A 21,597-nucleotide genomic window follows, 5' to 3' on the forward strand; every position below is an offset into this window, starting at 1 on the left:
GTGCAATGGGTTACCACGTGGAACTTATACAGAAGAAATATGGAGAATTGTGAGGCAAGGCAGAAGGAGGGGTTGGTCAGACACAGTGCCACCAAGAAAAATCCGTTCTCCCCACCAGTCAGCCAGCGGGGAGGACACAGGCACCTCTGGGCCTGTTGCTAGACAGGGCACTGTCACTAGAGGGCAGTGCAGCTCATTCTTGGGAGTGAGGGAGCCTGGTCATCCCATCTCCCACAGAGCAATCCTGCTGGGAAATCACCGTGTCCCAGCGGGGCAGGGAGGAGCAGCACCTGGAGGTAGGTAGACTCGAGATTCTAGGGGTAGGGGACAAAGGTGACATTACTTTTGATGTTTTTATACACATTCTTTCGTTTTATTTGACCCTGACAGTAGACTCCTGGGGTAGACTGAGATCTTTAGCCCAATTTGACAGATGAGAAGACAAATCATGAAGGTTAGACTCATCCCAGGTTACCCAGCTAATAAAGGTGCCAGGTTCCCTAAGCCCCAGTCCCAAGTTGAATCCAGGGCTGTCTGTAAACATGATGACATGGGCTAGATTCCTTAGTGAAATTCTCACTGTTGTAATTTCTCCCTTTGTTACTTGTGTATTCCCTAGAGCGTTGGGAAGAAACAGAAAAACAAGGTTAAAATGGAATCGCTCAATCAGATACATTGTAAGTAGCTTTGATAAAAGTTTGGATGAGGCAAGGGATACTTATGACTACCCACTTCCTTTGACTCCACTCCTGCTGGCCTTTCCAGGCCACATCCTGGTGACCTTGGAGAGTCATCGCAAATGCCTCCAGCTCTGGATACAGAAATGCATGTGGATAATGAAGGATGCAGAGGTGAAAGGTCCTCCAGTCTCTGCTGAGGATCAGAAGCAGGTTCCCATAGGAAGTGACTAGGTCATAGCCAGAAACCAGAAGCCAAGGGTGATGAGATTCATCCTGTCCTCCATCAACTCTTCCTGGAACATGACATAGACCCAGGCTGGGGTCATTTGGGAATATGATTTAAAGCAGTAGAGGTGATAGATTCTTTTAGCACATAGACACAAATCACACACATGAAGAGAGGGTTGGATGGTCAGATGAAAATCTACATGCCTTGTAGACATTCCACCTGCAAGATCCCCTGCTACCCCCACGTCACCCAAGGTACAGTTAGACATAACCAAATGCTTGATGAACACTGGCAGAGGCTGAGGAGGAGGATTGAAGAATCTGGGAAAGAATACATAGGATGGAGAGGCCCAGGGAAACAGGAGAAAAGAAGAAAGTCCAGGTGGGAAGAGTTGATACCTTCCTCCTAGGCAGAGTGGCCATGAGGACTCAGCCAGACATCCTGGATGAATGGCCCACCTCTGACACACAACTCTCTGCAGCATCTAAAGAAATTGGAAGATGCAACACAAACCAAACAATGGGCCATTTTGTACATTCTTCAGGATTCTGTGTGTCCATGGGGGCAGCCCATGGTAAGCCTGATATGGTTGGGCTGTGTCACCCACCCTAATCTCATTTTGAATTGTAGCTCCCATAATTCTCACATGTCATGGGAGGGACCCAGTGGAAGGTAATTGAATCATGGGTCTTTCCCGTGCTGTTCTCCTGATAGTGAATAAGTCTCATGAGATCTGATGTTTTTATAAAGAGGAGTTCCTCTGCACAAATTCTTTCTGTTTGCCTGCTGCCATCCATGTAAGACAGGACTTGCTCCGCCTTGCCTTCTGCCATGATTGCAAGGCCTCCCCAGTCCATTAAACTCTTTCCTTTATAAATTACCCAGTCTCTGGTACGTCTTTATTAGCAGCGTGAGAACAGACTAATACAAAGCCCATGTACTTATCATCCATTGTCCTCCTCCTCCCTTCCACGGTGTCAAATGGCAAATGGTGTCAAACTCAGGACACACCAGAAAACTCTCATTTTCAGGATTTATTTAGCCCTTCAATTTTCAGGACTTTGTGGAAGTGTAGAGGTCATTGAAGCCTGGTTTCTACCCTCAGAGGGCTTATCATCTAAGCGGCAACCCTGACATGTATCATACCAATTTTAACCCAAGCAGAGTAGGGCAGGTGCCATTGCAGAGATGCAAGAGCTTTGGAAGAAAAGCGAAAGAGTCATCATTTGCCTGTAGACCCAGGGAAGGATGCTCAGGAGAGGAGAGTTTTTAAAGATCCAGCTCAAATAAAAGATGAACATCTCGCAGGCTGCAGGAACAATGTTGTCCAAGACACAGCAGTGTAAAATATCTATTCCTGGAAATACTAGCAGTCTGGTGTCTTATTTTTAACATAAATAAATACTAAAGCAGCGAGTCTTGCATTGATTCATGCCTGTGAGCCAGTCCATCTCTATGGTCCTATAATTTCCATTCCCTCCCTCCAGCCCTCATTCGCTGATCAGGAGCACATTCTATTCTCTGTTATCCAACCTCCAACTGGAGATATGTTTTGAAATAAGTGATATTTGCTCTTTGGTGGCCCCTCTTCCTCCTCATTATCTGTCCTATCATGCCTTCAAGGCCTTGCACGATCTGCTCCTTTTCCTGCCTCACCAGCTGCATTTGGGCTACTCTCCCCACTACTCTACCTGCCCAGTCACAATGCACTACTCTGTCTTTCCCCAGTAGGTATGGCTCCTTTCCACCCCAGGGCCTTTACACATGCAATTTTTTGGTTGGTTTTTCTGACTTCTCATGTAGCCAATTCTTTCTCCTGATTCATTTTCCCTTCCCTCTTCCACCCTGGCACATCACCATGTCTTGTCATTTGGCTGTCCAGAAAGCTCAATCTGGAGATCTAATTAAATGTAAAAGACAATACAGAAAGGAGGTGACGCAAGAATCTGCTCTTAAACAGAGGAAGGATTGCTCTGTCCTCATGAGCGCATCTCCCTTTTCTCCTCCTTATACCAAACCTTAAGAGGACCGCTTATTTTGTTTACTTGGAGGGGTAAGCGTGGTCGGATGGGAGTGGTGGATATAACTATCAGGTTCTATATGGCCACTTTCCCCTTTGCCAATGTCACCTGTGACATTGCAAAGCTGTCTCATCATTTCCAGTATGGATTTTGTGTAGGTATTCAAATCTCTGTGTTTTCTTAATTCTACCACACCCACCACTGACGCCTCCCGAATCTGGTCCCACTCATCCTTAATATGCAGATTCTACTTTTTCTATAAAACCTTTCCTGATATCTCCATCCTGCAGCAATCTTTCCATGACCCCTATCTCTGGGAACAACGTAAATTAATAATACCTTATTTAGCTATTGAATGATCTCCAATTGTTATTCTGTAGCTTGTCTTGTCTCCTGTCCTGGGCACATAGTTGATGTTTAATAAATATTTGGTCAAATTGTCAGTTGAGAAAAACATAGAGATAAGGCCATTAAAAGAATATGAACTGGGCAAAACTGCAACCACGCATGTGCACGTGCATGTTTTTGTGTATGTGCATGCTTATACCTGTGCTGTAATGACAAAAGCTCTCTTCCACGTCCTTGAGAGACATTACTAAATGCCCCCTCAGTTCTCTAGTCATCTGTTCTAATATTTGAGCAATGGGTGCTCTGCCTCCTCGCTAGGCCTCCAATGATTAGCGTATGGCCCGGTCAGTGCTTGCAAGGAGATCTGGCTTCTGACCTCATCATTAAGAGGCAATGCTTTCTCCTCTGGCACCAGACATCTGCTGAACCTATTTCTGTTTCCACAGCAGAGAATTCATTCCTGGTTCTGTGGCTTGTCCAGCCCAGCAGGGTGCAGGTGAATTGGAGGGAATGGGAAAGAAAGAGGATTCTGGTGGTCTGATGACAACAGGCAATTCCTTTCCGATTCATCCTTTCATCAGAGTGACTTACAAGGTGCAGAGTTGACTGATTCATACACTTGGACAGTAAAAATTGTATGAACATAGGAACTAGGTCTGGTTTCAGATCCCCAATACTTAGTATACATCAGCATTTGATAAATATTTAAGGAATGAGTATATGTATGTGTGTGCTGGGAAAGTCTTCAGAGAAGCAGAATTCAGCTTCCTCTAGAGATAAACTTTGTAATGTGTGTCAATGCCCATGGGCATTATTTGGCGGTCTTAGGCTATGATAAACTCCCCAGCTCCAGAGTGTGCAAACAGGAGGAGGACAGCAGCTTAGTCGGGGATGCTCTACCCAGAGAGTCTAGGCAATAAATGGGATGTTGTATCAATAACAATAATATGCTATTATTCCTACTTTCAATACTAATAATAGTTACCATTTATTAAGTACTTACTTATGTACCAATAATTAGCAAATCATATCTTACTTAATTATGATGACTATCAAAGGCCTTTCTACCCCTGAGGGCTGATAAATCTATCAGGTCCAATAAACATTTGCAGAGCCAGGCACAGGAGGAGGATGGAGGAAAGAAAAAAGAGGGGCAAGAAATACAGGCAGAATCACAGCCCTTAAATAACTATCAATTTAAAAAAGGAGACAGGAAACAAACTAGAATTCAAGGCAAAAAAAGATTAAGAACTAAGAAGAGTTGTAGACAAAGAGTTTTGGGAACACTCCAAAGGGAGGAGTGATCAGTTGTCAGTGGGGGAGGAAATCTTAGAAGGCTTTCTGGATGTGGAATTTTTGAATCTATAGAATTTCTATAGGTGGAGAATGAGGAAAGGGCATTTTCTTAACCAACAGATCAGGATAAACGACGGTCAGGAGTTTTGGTGTGAGTGTTATGTTAGAAATAAGTGTTTCATATGGTGTGGCTGGAGTGTCACATGGGTAGAAAGAGAGATGCAGTGGAGGAAGGATAGCTTTGTGCTAGATCCTGGAATGCTTTCAATGATGGGCTGAAGTGTTTGGATTTTATTCTGTAGACAATGAATGTTTTTGATGAGGAAGCAGTATGTTTTATTGAGGTAATTCTAGAATGAAAGTTACATTGTAGACTGTCTTAGTCTATTCAGGGTGCTGTAACGAAATACCATAAACTGGCAACTTGTAAACAGCAGAAATATATTTCTCACCATTCTGGAGGCTGGAAGGCCCAGCAAATTCAATGCCTGATGAGGGTTCACTTCCTAATTCGTAGAAGGCACCTTCTCTCTGTGTCCCCATATAGTGGAAGGGGCAGTGCAGCTCTCTAGGGTCTCTTTTATAAGGGCACTGATTCCATTCACAAGGGCTCCACACTCATGACTTCATCACCTCCCCCAAACCCCATGTTTTAATACCACCACACTGGTGATTAGCTGTCAGCATATGAATTTGGATGGGGACATAAATATTCAGACTATGGCAGATAAAGAATGATCATAGCTAAAATTTATTAAGTGCTTACCATGTGCAAGCCACTGTTCTAAGCAGCTGCATTCTGTCTCGCTCCACCCTACTAGTGTGTGAAATAAGTTTAATAATTATGCCATTTTACAGATGGAAAAACTGAGGCATAGAAAGGTTAAGCCACTTTCCCAAGGCCACATATCTGTCAATGGAAGACCCAGGAATCCAACCTAGAAGTCTTCCCCAGAGCCACTTTTAACTATCCTACTGCACCATCTCACCCTATCCTATCACAGTTCTACCTGGGTGGGAGGTTGAAGGCCTGAACTGAGATCATAGAGGTGAATATTTGCTTGTATTTGCATAAAGAAATACCATAATAAAAGTGGTCACCTATAGAGGGCAATGTCAGGGTCAAGGGACAGATAACGAGTAGAAGGGGGTAACACATCTCAATGTATGCCTTTTAATATGGTCATTTTCTTGCCAATATGAATATGTTATTTATTCAAAAAACAAGATGACACAAAAGAAATGGTACAAGTTAAAAGCTAATTTCAAGGAACAAATGGAAGTGCATAAGAGCTGGATGGGTTTGGAAGACAAATTAAACAGGCAACACAAACAAAGCAAACCCTGGAGTTTCTCAGTTGAGTGTTTGGAAGATGGTAGCTCATTAGCCTAGTTGGGGAAAACAGGAGAGTGGGTTTGAGGGTGGCCATAACACATTCAGCCTTGTTTGTAGGTGACAGTGGGCATTTGGATGTTGAGGTTGAGCATGATAACCCAGGTGGGGTGTTGACTGAGGAGATTCTTATGAAGATGGTAATAGACTCTGTGAGTAGATGGTAACCTTAAGGAGAGAGTAGAGAAGGAGAAAACAAGAGAGCAGATGACAGAGTTTAAAGAAATCTGCACTAAAGGGACTGCCCCAGAGAAGCTAAGATGGAGACTGTGAAGCCTTGGTCAAGGGCCAGGTTGGAGAGATGAGTACAGGAAACAGAGGGAGCACAGAGTTTCCGGAGGAGGGGAATGATTTCCTGGGGTCTCATAGGTTAGGACTGAGACAGGTTTGGGGACCAGAATGCTGAGCTTCTGGAGGAAAAGAGACATATCAAAGATACTGAGTGAGACCGTCCAACTGAGGGGCCCCTTTTGGGACATCCAAGGCCCTTTCTCCCAGTTCTGTAAGAGATAACAAGCAAGGTGGACACTGTCTTCAGTCCCTACATGTCAGCCAGTGTAGATGTTCTGTTTTTCAGGGAGGTGTTTTTAGACAACATACACCAGCACCTGAGGGGTTAAAAAGGAAACTGAGGCAGACAATCCTAGAAAGCTTCTCTGATTTTTTTCTGTCATCACCCATTCAGGATAATGGGAACTTATAATTTGATGTTTTTGTTTTTCATTCTTCCGTTCTGTCTTTCCATCACACACATCAATGCAAACACAATTTCACATACACATGCACACAGACTCACACACACACACACCAGGCAAAAATGCACAAGCATTTTTCTGGATAAGACTCATTACTGCACGCTGGGAGGGAGGGTGAGCAGAGCCGAGGAAAGGAAAGAGAGATGCAAGCCACCCTAGCTACTTTTACTCCCCTTTAAGGCTGCGTGGTTACGGTCCTGGGAAAGAAAACTCCTGCATTCCTCCCCTTTAATTGGGTTTATTGTTAAAGCACTGGAGCAGCTAATCCTCACAGACCTGTAGGAGCTGGAGTGGGAGCTCAAGCAGGATTCTTCCCGAGTCCCTGGGTAAGACAACCCTGCTTCTTTTCTTGGCTTTAGAGGGTCTCCTTGCTTAATGGGAAGCGTGCAGCACCTAGTGAGTGGATTTGAAGAGCCACTTTGTAAGCAACTTGGGCATTTATTTCAGCCCCAGTTCCAGTCTTCCCTGACTCTTTTGGCATCAAGGGTGAGTTATAGCTGTCTTGGAAAATAAGTCTGAATGGGGGGTCCGGGTGGAGCTATCTGTCCGTCACTCCTGGGCTGGCTTTCATGGAAGCATTTTGCCCTTCTGGGCAGGGAAAAGGGAGAAAAATATCTTCATGTGCCCCTCCTGCAATGCCTGCATTCTAGGGACAAGGCTCTGTGCCTAGAGGGACCCCGTCCATCTGCTGGGGTGTTAGGACCTCCAACTCTCTTGCACCCCTCCCTCCTGCTCAACCTTCATCTCTTAACCTCTCTGACCCCATCCATCAAATAAAGTATGCCCTCTCTGCCGACCTCTTTGGGTTATTGGGAGGATTAGCAGAACCAATGGCAAAAAGATTTGTAAACAGCCTGTGGCTCTGCAAGCCTAAGGAAGACGAGTCAGCCTCAGTCCCTCCTGGAGGAGTCTGTGGACAGGCTTCAGGCTCCCTATCCTCAGCCGCGTTAAGATGCAGAACGCAGCCGAGCTATCGCTGTCAGTCACAAGACAGCTTCCTTCACCTTCCCCAGGGGCGCGTCTACCTCCCTTCTGTTTTTAAACTTCCCTAGTTTACCTCTCAAGTGAAGATCTTAAAAGGAGGTCTGGATTCACCACCACCACCACCCCCATCCACACCATGGCCCCTTCTCTCCACGTAACTTTGACGCACAAACATTAACCCTGAGGCTCCCGGAGATGGCTGCCAGGGCTCACGCTGGTCTGGCTGCAGTGCTTGTCTGGCCAGCCTCTTGCTCTGGAGTCAGATAAATTGATCATGAGGAAAGCCTCTGAGAAGGGTCAAGAGAGTCAAGCAGATTCCGCCTTAGGTAAGAAGATGATCTTTTCCAGATCATAAGCTGAAGACAGAACAAGGTCCCTGTCATTCCTGCTGACCCAAGCTTAACCAGAACCAAAGATGAGACCCACCTCTGAAACAGGCCGTAACACAGAGTGCTTAGTAATACCTGATATGGGGACCACACTTTACAGTTTATAATGTGTTTATAATTAATCATCTTTAGGACGATCCCATCAGATGGTGTGGCATGTATTATTTCCCCTTTAGTATAGATGAGACCATTGAAGCTTAGAAGTTAAAGGGTTTGCCTGGGGTTGCAAAGCTGGTGATGGTGGTGGCAACTGAACCCAGATCTATTGATAAATTCAGTGAACTTTCCACGATGCTGCAGATTGCTCTGGTGTGTGTGTGTGTGTGGATGCTTATTAAGAGCACTCTTCAGAAAGTACTCTTTGGGAAAGAAGCTTGAGGTTAGAGTGAGAAATGGTTTGAGCTGGAACCATGAGAGGCTTGGGGCAATAGACATGCTGTCCCCAGCCTCCATGCTGAGAAATCTGAGTGCTTTAGGGATTCAGCCCTTTCAAGATTGTCCGAGCCATGTGTTCCCAGGGTAATCAGTCAGACGTTAGGATTGCATTACAGCATCATAAGGATGAAGGTGGAGATGAGTGACATCCCAGCAACTGCCACCAGGAAAGAGGCAACAGGTTATGTGGTACAGTGACGAGAAGACTAGCGTTGGAATCCAATTCAGTTGTATCATTCACTATCTGTTTGATGTGGGGGATTTTTCTGAACATTTCTACTTATCAGTACCTCAGCTGTAAAATGAGGTTACCTGGAAAGGTGGCCGTGGGGCATTAAACAAGATAATGCATGCAAAGTGCCTAGCGCGGTGCCCCACCCAGGTGCGTGGTCCAGGGCAGCGAATACTATAAAGCCTGGGAGCGATTCTACCTGGAAGTGAAAAAGCATCCCCCTCTAAGAGGAGAGCGCCTCCCTCGCTCCCTCTCCCCCATACACACGCACACAGGGCCAGAAATAAATTGCCACACGAGTGCGCGCGAGTGGCGGCGCCCAGCCGCAGCCTGCCAGCGCCAGCGAGTGAATGAGCTGCAGCATGAATGAGGGGAGCGGCTGAGTCTGCAAACAGGCTGCGTGCCTGGCGCTACAACTGCAGGCGCGCCGCCACGGTCAATGGCGAGGGGGTTGGGGCTGAGTGGGAGCGGCTGCCAGCAAGAAAGCAAACTGAAGCAGGCAGGGGACTGCACGGACTATCCAGGATTGTCAAACCCATGTCCTTGGAGGAAAGGCTGGTAACTCAGAGCTTCCTGACACAGCCCTTCGTCCTGAGTTCAGCCTGTCCTTCCTTTTGTACTCTATCCCTGGTAGGGGAAAGATCCTTCCTCTCCCCTTCTGGAAGCCAGAGTAGAGTGCCTAGCTGGGAAGGTTAATAGTAATGAGCGTCCAACCTGTACAAAAGAGGCACCTCTTGCATGGGATTGGGCTTGAAGGCGGTGTGTGACACACAGTCAGCGTTAACCTTGAAAACTCCTTAGAAAAGTGCCCCAGTGGAGACCTGCATATCACCTGTGAAAAAAACCAACAGAAGTATTATTTCCTCTCTTGTTGCAACAGTTCCCTGTTTTCTTGGTTGAGTACCAGATGAAGTAGTTGGCTTGCATTCAGGCTATGATGTACGAAAAATCATATATCTTTAAACACTTTAGAAACACAGTGAGATGAGATGCTCACACTGTGAAAGGCACGTGGGAGCTGGAACCAGCTGAAGAAATAGCAGATTCCTGTCTCCTGTCCTGTGCTCACCCTGTTTAAGTCCTTATTGGTTTCCCTTTCTCTTTCTCCAGTGCTTAGTGTTTAATTCATGTGCCTATAATGTGGACCCACTGCATGGCACTTTAGAGGTTGCAAACTGCTTTTGTGCCCATTGAAGCATTAGCCCTCCAAAGGAATGCTGAGAAATAGAGCAGGGATCATTATTCACATTCAGCAGATGAGGAAACCAAGGCCCAATATACTTAGCAGCACACTAAGAATAAGCAGCATACCCTGCTCTCTACAATGGCCCCTGTGTGTTGACCTCTCAGCTACCGCATGAAGCCCTAGAGAATGATCTTCACATCCTCTGTAAGAAGCACACAGTAAACCATAAGCAACACATAAATTATGGCTTGTCACTGCAGCAGGAGAGATTTTGTTAAACTTAAATGTAGGTTTGCGCCTTAAATAAACTGCAGGCAACAATTGAAAAACCTTCTCTCTGGGTCATTTTGTGAACAGAAATTGGCATGCAGAGTTGATCTTTGAAATGCAGAATGGCAGTGGCAGAAGGGCTGGGAAATGGAGTGGGTGGTCCTTGGAGTTTCTCTCCAGCCAGAAGCTTCCTGAAGCCTTTAGGTTCCAGAGCCTCAGCTTTGGCAAGCAGATGAGCCACTTGGGTTGCAACCCGTGAACTGGAAGTGAGTTCTGACACAGGCCCAGCCATTCACCTATGACACCACAAGGAGGGTGAAACTGTGACTGATGGCAGAGGGCTGCTCGAAATTTCATCTATCCCTGCAAAATATGAAGAATTACAAAGCATTAGAGATGGCCTAGTCTACATTTTCCAAAGGATGCTCTGAGAAACCCTAGATCCCCGGCACACTAATATTAGTGTTACAGAAGGAAAGAATTTCACTATCTACGAAATTTGGGAAATGCCAGATTAAACAGCATGTGTCTTTAATGGTCCTCAGAGCCTTTAATAAGCTAATGTGGATTGTGAATCTCCAAGAAGGGGGCCAGAGGAGGTAGCAAATCCACCCTACTCACAGAGAGTCACCCAGGACTAAGATACTGAAAAGCAAACTTCAGGGAACTTTAATCTAGTCCAATCTCCTCTGTTCACCAGAGAGGAGGATGGAAACTCAGGGATGTATGGTGATCTGCCTGGGGCTGCACAGCTACGGGATATCAAACCAAGACTGGAACAAGTCTGGGTTCTTTCTGGTATTCTTTTAACCCAGTGGATGATATAAAGTCCAATATGGACCAGAGTCTAGAAAATTGTGTGACCCAGCAAGAAAACTTCCCAACTTTTGCCTTTTACCCTTTTGTAACCAAGCGCTGATAGATTTCCATGATTCGGTGTGCCCCAGCCTGGAGGCAGAGAGCACATTCTTATTAGAGATGATCCAACTGATAACCTCCCTCCCAAGGCCCATAGGCTTTTCTGAGTCATGCTCCCAAAGAATGGAAAATCCCGGAAGCAGAGACTATAAAGCAGTCTTAGGGTAGACTGATTCCTCTAAGGTCAGTAAAAGAGCCAGGCATGATCCAGAAGGCTCTGAGCCTGCTCACTATGCCCCAGAGTGATTCATGCCTCCTTGCTCAGAAGCCCCTAGTGACAGCACCAGCAAAAGGAGGGTGGCTCTTCCCATGGGTAGAATTGAGAACCATTATCTGTGAGCTTAAGATTGCAGAGGTGCTACTCAAAGATGCTCTCCTTCCCTGTCCCCATATCCTCTGGTTTGTCCATGCCCAGTTTAGGAACACTATGATTGTTCCTACACTGTACACACATTGTAATGGATTGGAGTGGATTGGATTAGAGTGGAGCGGAATGGATTGGATTGGATTGGATTGGATTGGATTGGATTGGATTGGATTGGATTGGATTGGATTGGATGGAAAGCCTTTGAATTATAACGTGATGCTCCTAAGACTCTGGATCACCTAATTAGGAGCGTAACAGTTTTAAGCTATTAGCCCAGCTGATACGTTTAATAAGCACCTCAGGGCAGGTCCCTAAATGGCTGCAACTCAAATAGAAAACTTTGGGTAGGTAGGCCACATGGAGAGTGGGGCAGACATGAGAGTGCAGAGAGAGAATCCGGCCAGTGTGGGGTCATGAGGTGACCTGGCAGTTTTAGGGTATATGACCACAGTGAGGAGGCCACTGCAGACAAAGCTTATCTGCCTGAGAGTTCCATCTCGGGCTAGTGGTGCTCCCTTTACTAAATGAAGCTGGAAAAGGAGGAAGGACAGAGAAGCTCCATGGAAGGGGCATCTGCCTCCTGGGCTCATGGCCCAAGCATCTCTCACCAGCTTCTCATAAGCAAGCATCACACAGCCTGCCACTGGGAGCATGGAAAGGGCTGCACTCAGAGGCAGCGTCCACCCCAAGGCTGTACTGCCTGCCCTTTAGGAAGAACTTTCCCCTCTGTAGCCTCCTCCACAGCTGCAGAGTTTTCCCCCAAGAGGCCAGGAAGTTCATCCAAAAAATACAATTGAGCCGAAGCTAGGAGGCAGGTACTGCACTAGCCCCAAGGGAGGCAACAAGATAGCCAAGGTCTTTGTCTGTGTGGAGTTACTTCCTATAGAGGAGATCAACCTCAAACAAGTAAACAGGGTGCTTTGAGATTGTCATACTTATTACAGAAGAAAGGACTGGCTCACCTAAGAGAGAGTGACTCTGGGTGTGGGTAGACGGACTCTAGGTAGAATGGTCAGGAAGAGCCTTGTCTAGTGTTGCAGGGAAGTTCTTCTGACCAAGAACCAGACACGGATCCCATCCCAGGCACTAGTGTCCCTGAAATTATGATGACAAGAAAGAAGCCAAGCAGATTTGGCCTTCTATGGCCATTCCACCCTCTCCTGCTGCTGTGCCATGGGCAGAGCCTCACAGCAAGGACTATAGAGAGGGAGGCCCTGCTGCGGTCCCTTCCCAGGGCTCAGGTCTTCTTGCTATAGGCTCCTCTCTAAAGCAATATAAAGAATACATCCACCCACCTTCTATACTCATCTTAAGTCTAACTCCTCCACAATGCGCTCCCCAATCAACCCACCCCCAAGCTTTTCTCTCATTCACTCATTTAGCAACCATGGGCTGGACCTTTAGTGAGTGCCAGGAACAGTAGTAGGTTCTAGGATTTCAAAGATGAGTAATACATGGTCCCAGTCCTTTAAGCAGACTGGCCTGCATTCTTAGCTCCTTATTTATATATCTGTGTTTGGTCTTCATAACCTGATTGTAAGCACTTTTAAGGCCAGACTCCTATCATAGAAATGTCTATTTATAGCCCAAATTGTACACAGGAAGTACTCAATAAATGAATGTTGAATGAAGGAGTATTACCTCCACGACTCAAAGATAGTTCCATGAATAAGGTAATTTTCTTTGCTAGGAGCCATTTTTGCAGAATATTCTTGAGAATCTTGCTGTGCTGAGGTGCCAGGCGCCTGAACCAGCCACAAAGCCGACATCCTCCAAGTCTCCTGAGCTATCGATGTGAAAAATCAGCCCTAAATCTCAGAGAAATCTGTGGCGGCTGCTCCTGAGCTTTGAAACCCAATGGAAATTGTTGCCAGAAATAGAGTGAGAGGCGGGGAGTACTTTGGAAACAAATGAGAGCAATATTGGAGCTTCAAGCTCCTTAGAATTTGTTTTCTTTTCCTCTGAAAAGGCCTAGATTACAGAAGTCAAGAGAGGAGGGGGAGGACTTTAGCAGAAAGAAGCAGGATGCAGCCATGGAAGGAACATGGGCACCCCTTTCAAAGCCCACTGTTCAGACCTCCACCACACAGGGCATGGGAGTCTTGAGGCGATCACTCTGGTTACAGAGGGGTGGGAAGGGAAAGCCAAAGCTATGGGGGTTTCAGATCTGGGCCTTTGAGTTTTCCACATTGCACTGAAGATGGAACTAAATGGTTAGGATTCAGTGTATGGGAGGAGGAGTGGGCGGGAAAGATGTTTTCTCATAGCCTAGCTTCGGCTAAGAATACTATGTTTTTAAAGCTATTTAAGAGAGAAGGGAAAGAAGGAACAGTGAGTACAGATCTGCTAATGAGGTGGTGCAGCCTCCTGGAGAACAGGCCGTCATTCCATGGAAGCTCCAGAAGAGGGAGTGATGGACGCCTGGCTCTTGGTCCCAGAGCTGGAAGGCGGCTCTTCATTGGCTGGAAAAGCAGCATCCACAGCCCTGTTGTTCTGTGGAGAGGGGAGAGAGCAAGGATGGGGGAGGCACATAGGCGGCTGATTTTGCTTTGTTAAATGTTCAAACCTTTGCCCTCATCCCCTACATTCAAGACTTACCAGCAGCAGTGTATCCGCACAGCAAGAAGTATTTTTGATGTCCCCTGGAGACTGGGTCAGCTAAATGAGGCTCTTTAAACCTGATAAGATTAACATGCAATAATGGACAATCTCAAATTTAAAGTACCCCATTTTTCTTTTTGCAGCCTGTAAAGCGAGTGAAAGTTCATGCATTCTAGATGCCAAGCACCCTGATAAGTGGAAGCTGCTAGATTTGGGACTCAGGATCTACAGAAGGGCATCTGGCTAAAGATATCCCCCGACTCTTATATTCTATCTTCCTCAGAGAGATCTCCACCAGTCAGGGTCCATTTGTCTCCACCTTGTGTACCGTGCCCTCGAAGTCAAGTGTCAGCCCACCACTGCCAGTGAGACCTCCTCTGGCCAGTGCCTGCATCCTGAACTGCTGTGGTCCCTCTGGGCTGCCACCCTGCCAAGAGGAGCAGATCAGCAAATGGGCCAGAAGACCCAAACACAAGCTACCAGATGTATATTCAACTAGGTCAATCATGAAGGAGTTTCTCACATGCATTTTTTAATAATAAATAGCCACCAATTATTATATAGCCAGGTTGCAAGTTGACACATTATTAAAATGTACACCAAAAAAATGCAGCTTCCTATTTCTTATAAATCTTTCTCATGAACTCCCATCCCATCAGGCAGCAAAAAGGGGAATGGGGAACTTTAAGTTTGAATTTGTCCATTGTAGCGTATAAATCTCCCTTTGGGTTTCAAGAGTCTCGTTTAGCTGACCTTATGCCTTTCAGGAAAACATAGCCTTGAGATGGCCTTTCCTCTTCCTGCTCTACTTCAAAGTGGCATTTTATGTTGTAAGGTATTTACTAAACCTTGTTGTCATATGGGAGAAGGGGGCCTCAGACTTCTTAGACTTATCAGGGACCCTGGATTCCACAGTCCTCTGGATCTCATCAGAAGCTAACTAGTGACCTCTGAAGTATGACTGGTCCCACTGGTTCACAGGGATCATACTGACATACTCTACTAAAGGCCCTGATCCCAGCTGTTTGCTTACCTGAAAAGCCCTGGTCATCACCGTCTCTTCTCACCAACCCCAGCCAGCTGGCCGTGACCTGCTCTACATCCCCTCATAGGGCCATGAGCCACAATGAGCTGGTAAATGTTTAATGACAGGTCTTGGGGCAAGGGGGAGGTGGAGTCAGGCAGAAGCCCTGATTGTAGCTGTTGCCACTGTCCATGGTGTAAATATTCCTATTAGGCTGGGATTGATGGCTTATACCTGTAATCCCAGCACATTGGGGGGCGAAGATGGGAGGGTCACTTGAGCCCAGGAGTTCGAGACCAGCCTGGGCAACAGAGTAAGACCCTGTCTTTGGAAAAAAAATTAATATTTGGCAGGCGTGTTGATGCATGCCTGTAGACCCAACTACTAGGGTGGCTGAGGTGGGATTACTTCAAGCCCAGGAGGTTGAGGCTGCAGTAAGGAATGATCACACCACTGCACTCTAGCCTGGGTAATAGAGCAAGACTCTGTCTCAAAAAAAAAAAAAAAAAAAACTCCAGTACTCCTACTGTGGTCACTTTCTAGCTGCCAACATTAACACCAGAGAGGTGCACAGCTGACTCTCATGAGCTGACATGAGCCGGCCCTGGGGAGGTTTTGGAGTCTCTGCCCAGCATGAGGCACTATCTCAACTCACCTCCTCCCTCGAGGCCTCCCCATGATTCCTCACTGCCCTGTTAGATGTGGTTGCAGGCAGCGCTCCTCCTAGGCTTAAAGCCTCCCACCAGCAGGGTCCTGGTAAGCCACCCCATCCATGTCACCTGTCTCCCAATTCCTGACCAGATGCTCTACTCCAAGAGAGCGAAAGCAAAGATCTGTGCTTTGGAAAACTACACCATCTGTCTCCCCATCCCCTTTCCAGGATCTACTTGGACCAAAAGTATCCATCTTTCCACCTCCTCTTCCCCTCTGCCAAGAGCCTCGCTTGTATCATATTCTTCTTATTCCCAGGGGTCTAAGTCTCATAGTTGTGTTTTAATGGCAGAAGAGGTTCCCTCTATTCCATGAAACCTATTTTACCACGAGTCCTCCAGATGTGGATTATCAGGAATGAAATACATCAACAAATGTCTCCAGAATATTATCTCTGTTACAACTGTTTAAGATTGTAGCAGAACAGAAAAAAAAATAAAAATAAAAAAGAAACAACTGTTTATCATGTGTATCAATGTCTGTATGTGCACCATTTCATTTAACCTTTACCATATCTTAAAGGGTTTTGTCCCCACTTTACAGATAAGGAAATAGATTCAAAGAGGTTAGTAACTTGCCTTAGGCAAGGCCATTTAACTGGTAACTAGCAAAGGTAGGATTTGAACTCAGGTTGGCCTCCAAAACTATGCTCTTCACTTAATGCTGAATTGTAGAGGAACAAACTTTCTTTTTGTTCAAAGGCTATTATTAATACAAGACCCCATAGAGTCTACAAGTAGTTTTTCTCGAGTGGGGAAGGAAGGTTATTGCCCAAGAGGGGCAGCTATTAGGCATATTTTCCTATTTCTCCATCAGGTTCAAGGAGTATGAGGGAGAGGGTGCTGGCAGAAATGGTGTCTCACTCATCACTCCTGGACACCTGGTACCCTGCCATTAGCTGTTGGAGGGGGTAGACAGAGTGGAATATCCAAAGGAACAGAGATTCCCTCCAACCATTTAACCCCACCCCAAAAACATGTTTCTCTCTAGTATTCATGAGCTCAGTCAGGGCACCCCCCAACCAACCCCAGATGCTCCTGCCAGAAACATGGGAGTCCTCTCAGACTCCGTCTGCCCCACCATATGACACATCGCCTAATACTGTAGATAACTGGACTCCCAGAATACATCCCAGGTTCATCATTCTCTCCTTCACTCCCATCTGGCCCGAGCCACCATCATCTCTCTCTTCACATCTCTCTCCCTTCACAGATCAGCCAGAGTGAACTCTTTAAAACATCAATGGTGTAATAACTCCCCTGCTAAAAATCCTTCATGTCTTCCCATCTCACCTAGAAGAAAATCCAATGTCTTAAACAGAGTCTACAAAGCCCTTTATTGTCCGCCCCTGCCTGCCTCTTCCTACCCACTCACCACCCCCCACCATACGGAGCTCACTCTGCACCAGCCACACTGCCCCTTCAGGCTCTGGAGCACACTATGCTATTTCCTCCCTTCCAGCTTTGGTGTTTTATTTCCTTTGCACAGAAGCTCCTTCACATGCTCTTTGCTTGGTTGGCTCCTTCCCAAACTTTGGGTCTCAGCTTAAATATGACCTGCTCAAGAGGCCTTCCCTGGACTTTATCTAAAGAAGACCCTCCCTGTTTATCTCTATGACAAACCCAGGTTTTTGTCTTTCATAATTTTCCCCACACTTTGTAACTGTACACGTATGACTTTACTTGCCCATTGCCCGTCTCCTTCAGGCTGGCAGCCCCATGAAGGCAGGGCCAGCATCTGTGTTGTTATCAGTACCCATCGGCACCTTGCACACGGTAGGTGCTAAATACATATTGGTTAACTGTTGAATAAATATGGTAACTCCAGAACTCTGATATAAATTTAGGAAATGATTCAATTTAGATTTTCGTGAATAACTATTTGCCCAGCACTGTGCTAAATGTTGTAGGAGTTACAAAAACAGCACAATACTCATTCATTTAACCCATAACAGGTGGGAGAGAGGTACTAGTGAGAAAAATTGAGGGAGGTGGCAGAGTTGTGACATTAGAGAGGAAGCCTGGCTGACTCTGTAGTCTGAGTAAACATTGTGACTATCATTTGGAAAACACAGGACATGCCTGAGCTGAGCTCAGATCCCCTCAAGGTGGATATTCCCAGGTTATCTACACACGTACTTACTATTGCCCTGATGTGAGCATGCAGCAAGCATAGTGCACATGTAGTAGGCATTCCATGAATTTGTCCTTGTAATTTTTGAAAGCAAGTGTGGAGATAGTTTCACTTTTTCCAGTTATCCAGGTTTGCTCCTAATCCTTCCTTCTGATAATTACAGAAAGATGTCAGTATTGCAGCCTGTTTTTAATCTTGTTTGAGAAAGCAGCTGACCAGACCTTTTTTCTCCTCCTTCTCCCACTCCCTGCAATAAAGCATCCTCAGAAGCTTCAACTCTGGAGGCAATGGGTCGAAAGGAAGAAGATGACTGCAGTTCCTGGAAGAAACAGACCACCAACATCCGGAAAACCTTCATTTTTATGGAAGTGCTGGGATCGTAAGTCCTGGGGCTGTGAGGTCGGGTGGGCTGGGCTGCCTGCAGTGGGAGGTTAGAAGAGTTGTTCTCTGCTGGCAGCAATTGATGAACTGGACTGAGGCTGCTGTGACTTCATTTCGATTTATTTAAGGGACTTAGGGAGAGTTTTGTGGCCTGGAGGATGGTGGGTGGAGTGGGTGGCAGGTACTTTGGGTAATACCAAAGATGATTTAATACATTGGATGTAGTCCAAGCTACACGGGAGGCTGAGGCAGGAGAATTGCTTGAACCCAGGAGGCGGAGGTTGCAGTGAACCGAGATTGCGCTACTGTATTCCAGCCTGGTGACAGAGCGAGACTGTCTCAAAACAAAACAAAACAAAATTGGAGCTCTCAGGGAATACCAGTCCCTTTCCCCCAGGGTTTGCCTCCTTCTGACCCACCTGCAATGACCCTCTCCTCCTTCCAGATCTGTGCCGGTTTGTGGGTTCTTGCCTCTGTCAGGAGAGGGGAGTTGGAGAGCACTTCTGGAGGTCCAGTGACACTAGAACTTTCCCAGTCTCCTCCCCCAGCATCTTCATTTCTCCAGCAGTGAACAACCTCTTCTTCTGCTCTAACTGGAACAGAAGGGACTTTTGAGGCCCAGGGAGCTCGTGGGTCACACACACCTGAATCAGCCCCCTGCACCACCATCCTCCCTCCTCCATATCCAAGTGTTTCAGCTGTGCTCTAGTCCATACCTCTGCCAGCCTGCAGGGTGTCTGAACCTGCACCTTGAAGATGATTACATGGCTGGCAGATCAGAGACAGTTTGTCTGGAACTGACTCCCCACTTAGTCCTGCCTCTCCCCTGGGAGGCTGCAGACTCTGACGCAGGCTGGCAGCAGCTCCAGGCCACTGGCCCCCAAACCCCTCAGAACCCCAGCTGGTCAGCTAATTAGTCTAGGCTAATTGGGCCTGGGCAGTGAAGAGCAGCCAGCGGGCTGTCCATCCGGGTAAGCTTTCTCTGTCGCCAATGTCACTTCACTTTGCACTGACTAGAAGGCAGTGACCTCGGGCAATGACGGCTGCCCACACTCGTGCCGTAGACAGAGAAGACACTTCTGGGCCCTCCTGGCACAGGCAGGTTGTCAGACTGTGCAAGTGCAGGAGGATCCCAGCGGGGTGCTGGTCATGAGAGCATTGGCCTTCCATCAAAGGCCTTTACCAAGATGGGAGTGACCAGAGAGGGGGTTTTGGCAGGAGAAAGAGACAAGCCTCATGAGTAAGTCAGAAATGATTTGCTAAGTGTCCCAAAAATCCAGAGGAGAGGAGAGAAGGGAGCCCAGGTTGACAAGAATTTACCATCTGCTAGACTTGTGCTGTAGGACTCAAAAGACAGACACACCTTCCCTCTTAGAGCTCAGTGAAGTCTACCACACAGCACCTAAACCTGGGAGAACATCGGAGTCATCTGGAGAGTTTATGCCTCCAACTTTTAACTGTGAAAATGTTGAAACATAAGGAAAAGGTGAAATAATGATAAAATGAACGTCAGTATACCCACCATCTAAATTCAACGTTGTTAACATTTCACTGTAGAGTATGTATTTTACATCACACACACACCACACACACACACACACACACACACACACACACACACACACGTACTGAGCACTGAACTATTTGTAAATAAGTTGCAAACATGATGACATGTCACCTCTGAATCTTCTGTTTACATCTCCTAAAATAAAGGCATTTTCACATATATCTACAATATCATTGTCACACTCAAGAAAGTGAACAACAATTCCTTTTAGCCTGGGTGATTTTTGAAAAATAGATCCCTGGTCTCAGACCCACTAAACTGGAATTTTGGGAGATAGGATGCAGCAGCCAGGAATCTATATTTTAAGTGCTTCTGGTGTTCTAATGTATCTAGCTCAGCAGTGATTTGAAGGGAGCAGGAGGACAAGACAGGAGGCATGTCACAGCTGTTGCAGAAGTTAGAGCTGAGCGAAAGAGAAGACATCTCAGTGGTGCTCAGGATGAAGACCAGTATTCCCAGGCTGCAGACCCCACAGAGTTACCACAGTGGGGCATGGTGGAGAGTGGACAAGTGTACAAATTATGAAAAAGGTGCTCTTTTATCTAGCCTGTTGTCTGCTCGGGCAGGAAATATAATAATTATCATATGAACATGTATGATGGCTTCAAGGTGAATGGCACCTGCTGAAGTTGTTGCACTGCACAACCTGCCCAATAATAGCAGGGGCCCTGTCTTAAGTGTCCATTTTCTGTGGTCTCTTAATATGTCATTCTTATGTGTTGTGTATGTATCTGTCTTTCACATTGAATTCCAAGCTAGACCAATACTAATCTTAGTGCCTGACACAGAGAGGTTCCATCAGTTCAATAAACATTCATTGAATGCCTGATAGCATTTTTCAAATCAAATGCTAATTGCTTACTTGTCCCTGTTCCTCACTATTCTACAGGTTTCTTAAGAATGGAAACACTCACCTTTTAATTTCCAGTGTCTAATACTCAGTAGGTGTTCAATAAATCTTGGTTGAAGGGATGAGTAAGTGAATGGATGAATAGAGCAAGCTCGGGCGGCTTTGATTAACTCAGTTCCAAGTGCAGCTGGGAAAACAGGAAACTCAGACACAGGAAACACCAAGTAATTTCTAATGCAGATTTTTAAAGTCCTTATAGAAGCTTGACTCCTATTGGGCTTTCATTCTAGCATATCCAGATGGCAGGGTCAAGGATGGCTCAGCTGTTTCCTTACTTAGATTCTCTCTCCTCTTGTACTACTGGGTGTTCTTCATAATGGTATTCAAATAATAGTGATGATAATAATAGTATCTAACACTTATGGTCTTAATAGATGTCAGAAACACTTTTAAGCTTTTTACATATATCAAGTCATTTAATCTTCTAAACAACCTTGTGAATCAGATACTATTGATACTCCCACATTTCAGATGAGGAAACTGGGAATATGGGAGTTAAGTGACTTTTTATCCCAAAAGCTGAGATTCTAACGTGAACAATCAGGCTTCAGCATCTGTACCTAGCTTAACTGCTGGTCTGATAGCCTGATCTCCAGAGGACCCCCTTCAAACCAAGAGGCCTGTAATTTGGAATCCTGCCCTGTATTCCCATTGGTTCCACCTGCTCTGTCTTCAGAGCCTGCCTCAGAGACTGCTAGGTTCTCTCTTTTGTCTTTGCAGATCCTACTGAATGAATGAGAGGTTGCTCAGCACCCTGGCCTCTGATA

The 21,597-nt window shown here is 46.1% G+C and overlaps 1 protein-coding gene and 1 long non-coding RNA gene across 3 annotated transcripts in view; one reads left to right on the forward strand and one right to left on the reverse strand.

The window, feature by feature from the left end:
* Positions 1-343: 343 nt before the first annotated feature.
* Positions 344-9,641, reverse strand: LOC107985256 (uncharacterized). Its single transcript, XR_001738443.2, has 3 exons — positions 9,477-9,641; positions 733-973; positions 344-615 (listed from the first exon to the last, which is right to left on the reverse strand). It is a non-coding gene; the product is annotated as an uncharacterized LOC107985256 (long non-coding RNA).
* CAMK1G (calcium/calmodulin dependent protein kinase IG) overlaps positions 6,990-21,597 on the forward strand; it is a 30,226-nt gene continuing 15,618 nt past the window's right edge. The window contains exons 1-2 of one of the 2 annotated variants that reach the window (XM_017001866.3): positions 6,990-7,208; positions 18,231-18,351. In XM_017001866.3, coding sequence (XP_016857355.1) covers positions 18,260-18,351 — 92 coding nt within the window. In that variant the 5' untranslated portion in view covers positions 6,990-7,208; positions 18,231-18,259. The remainder of the gene's footprint in view (positions 7,209-18,230; positions 18,352-21,597) is intronic. The other variant, NM_020439.3, reaches the window with a different exon arrangement.

This window comes from Homo sapiens, chromosome 1 (genome assembly GCF_000001405.40).
Source record: "Homo sapiens chromosome 1, GRCh38.p14 Primary Assembly".
In the NCBI taxonomy this organism is placed as follows: domain Eukaryota; kingdom Metazoa; phylum Chordata; class Mammalia; order Primates; family Hominidae; genus Homo; species Homo sapiens.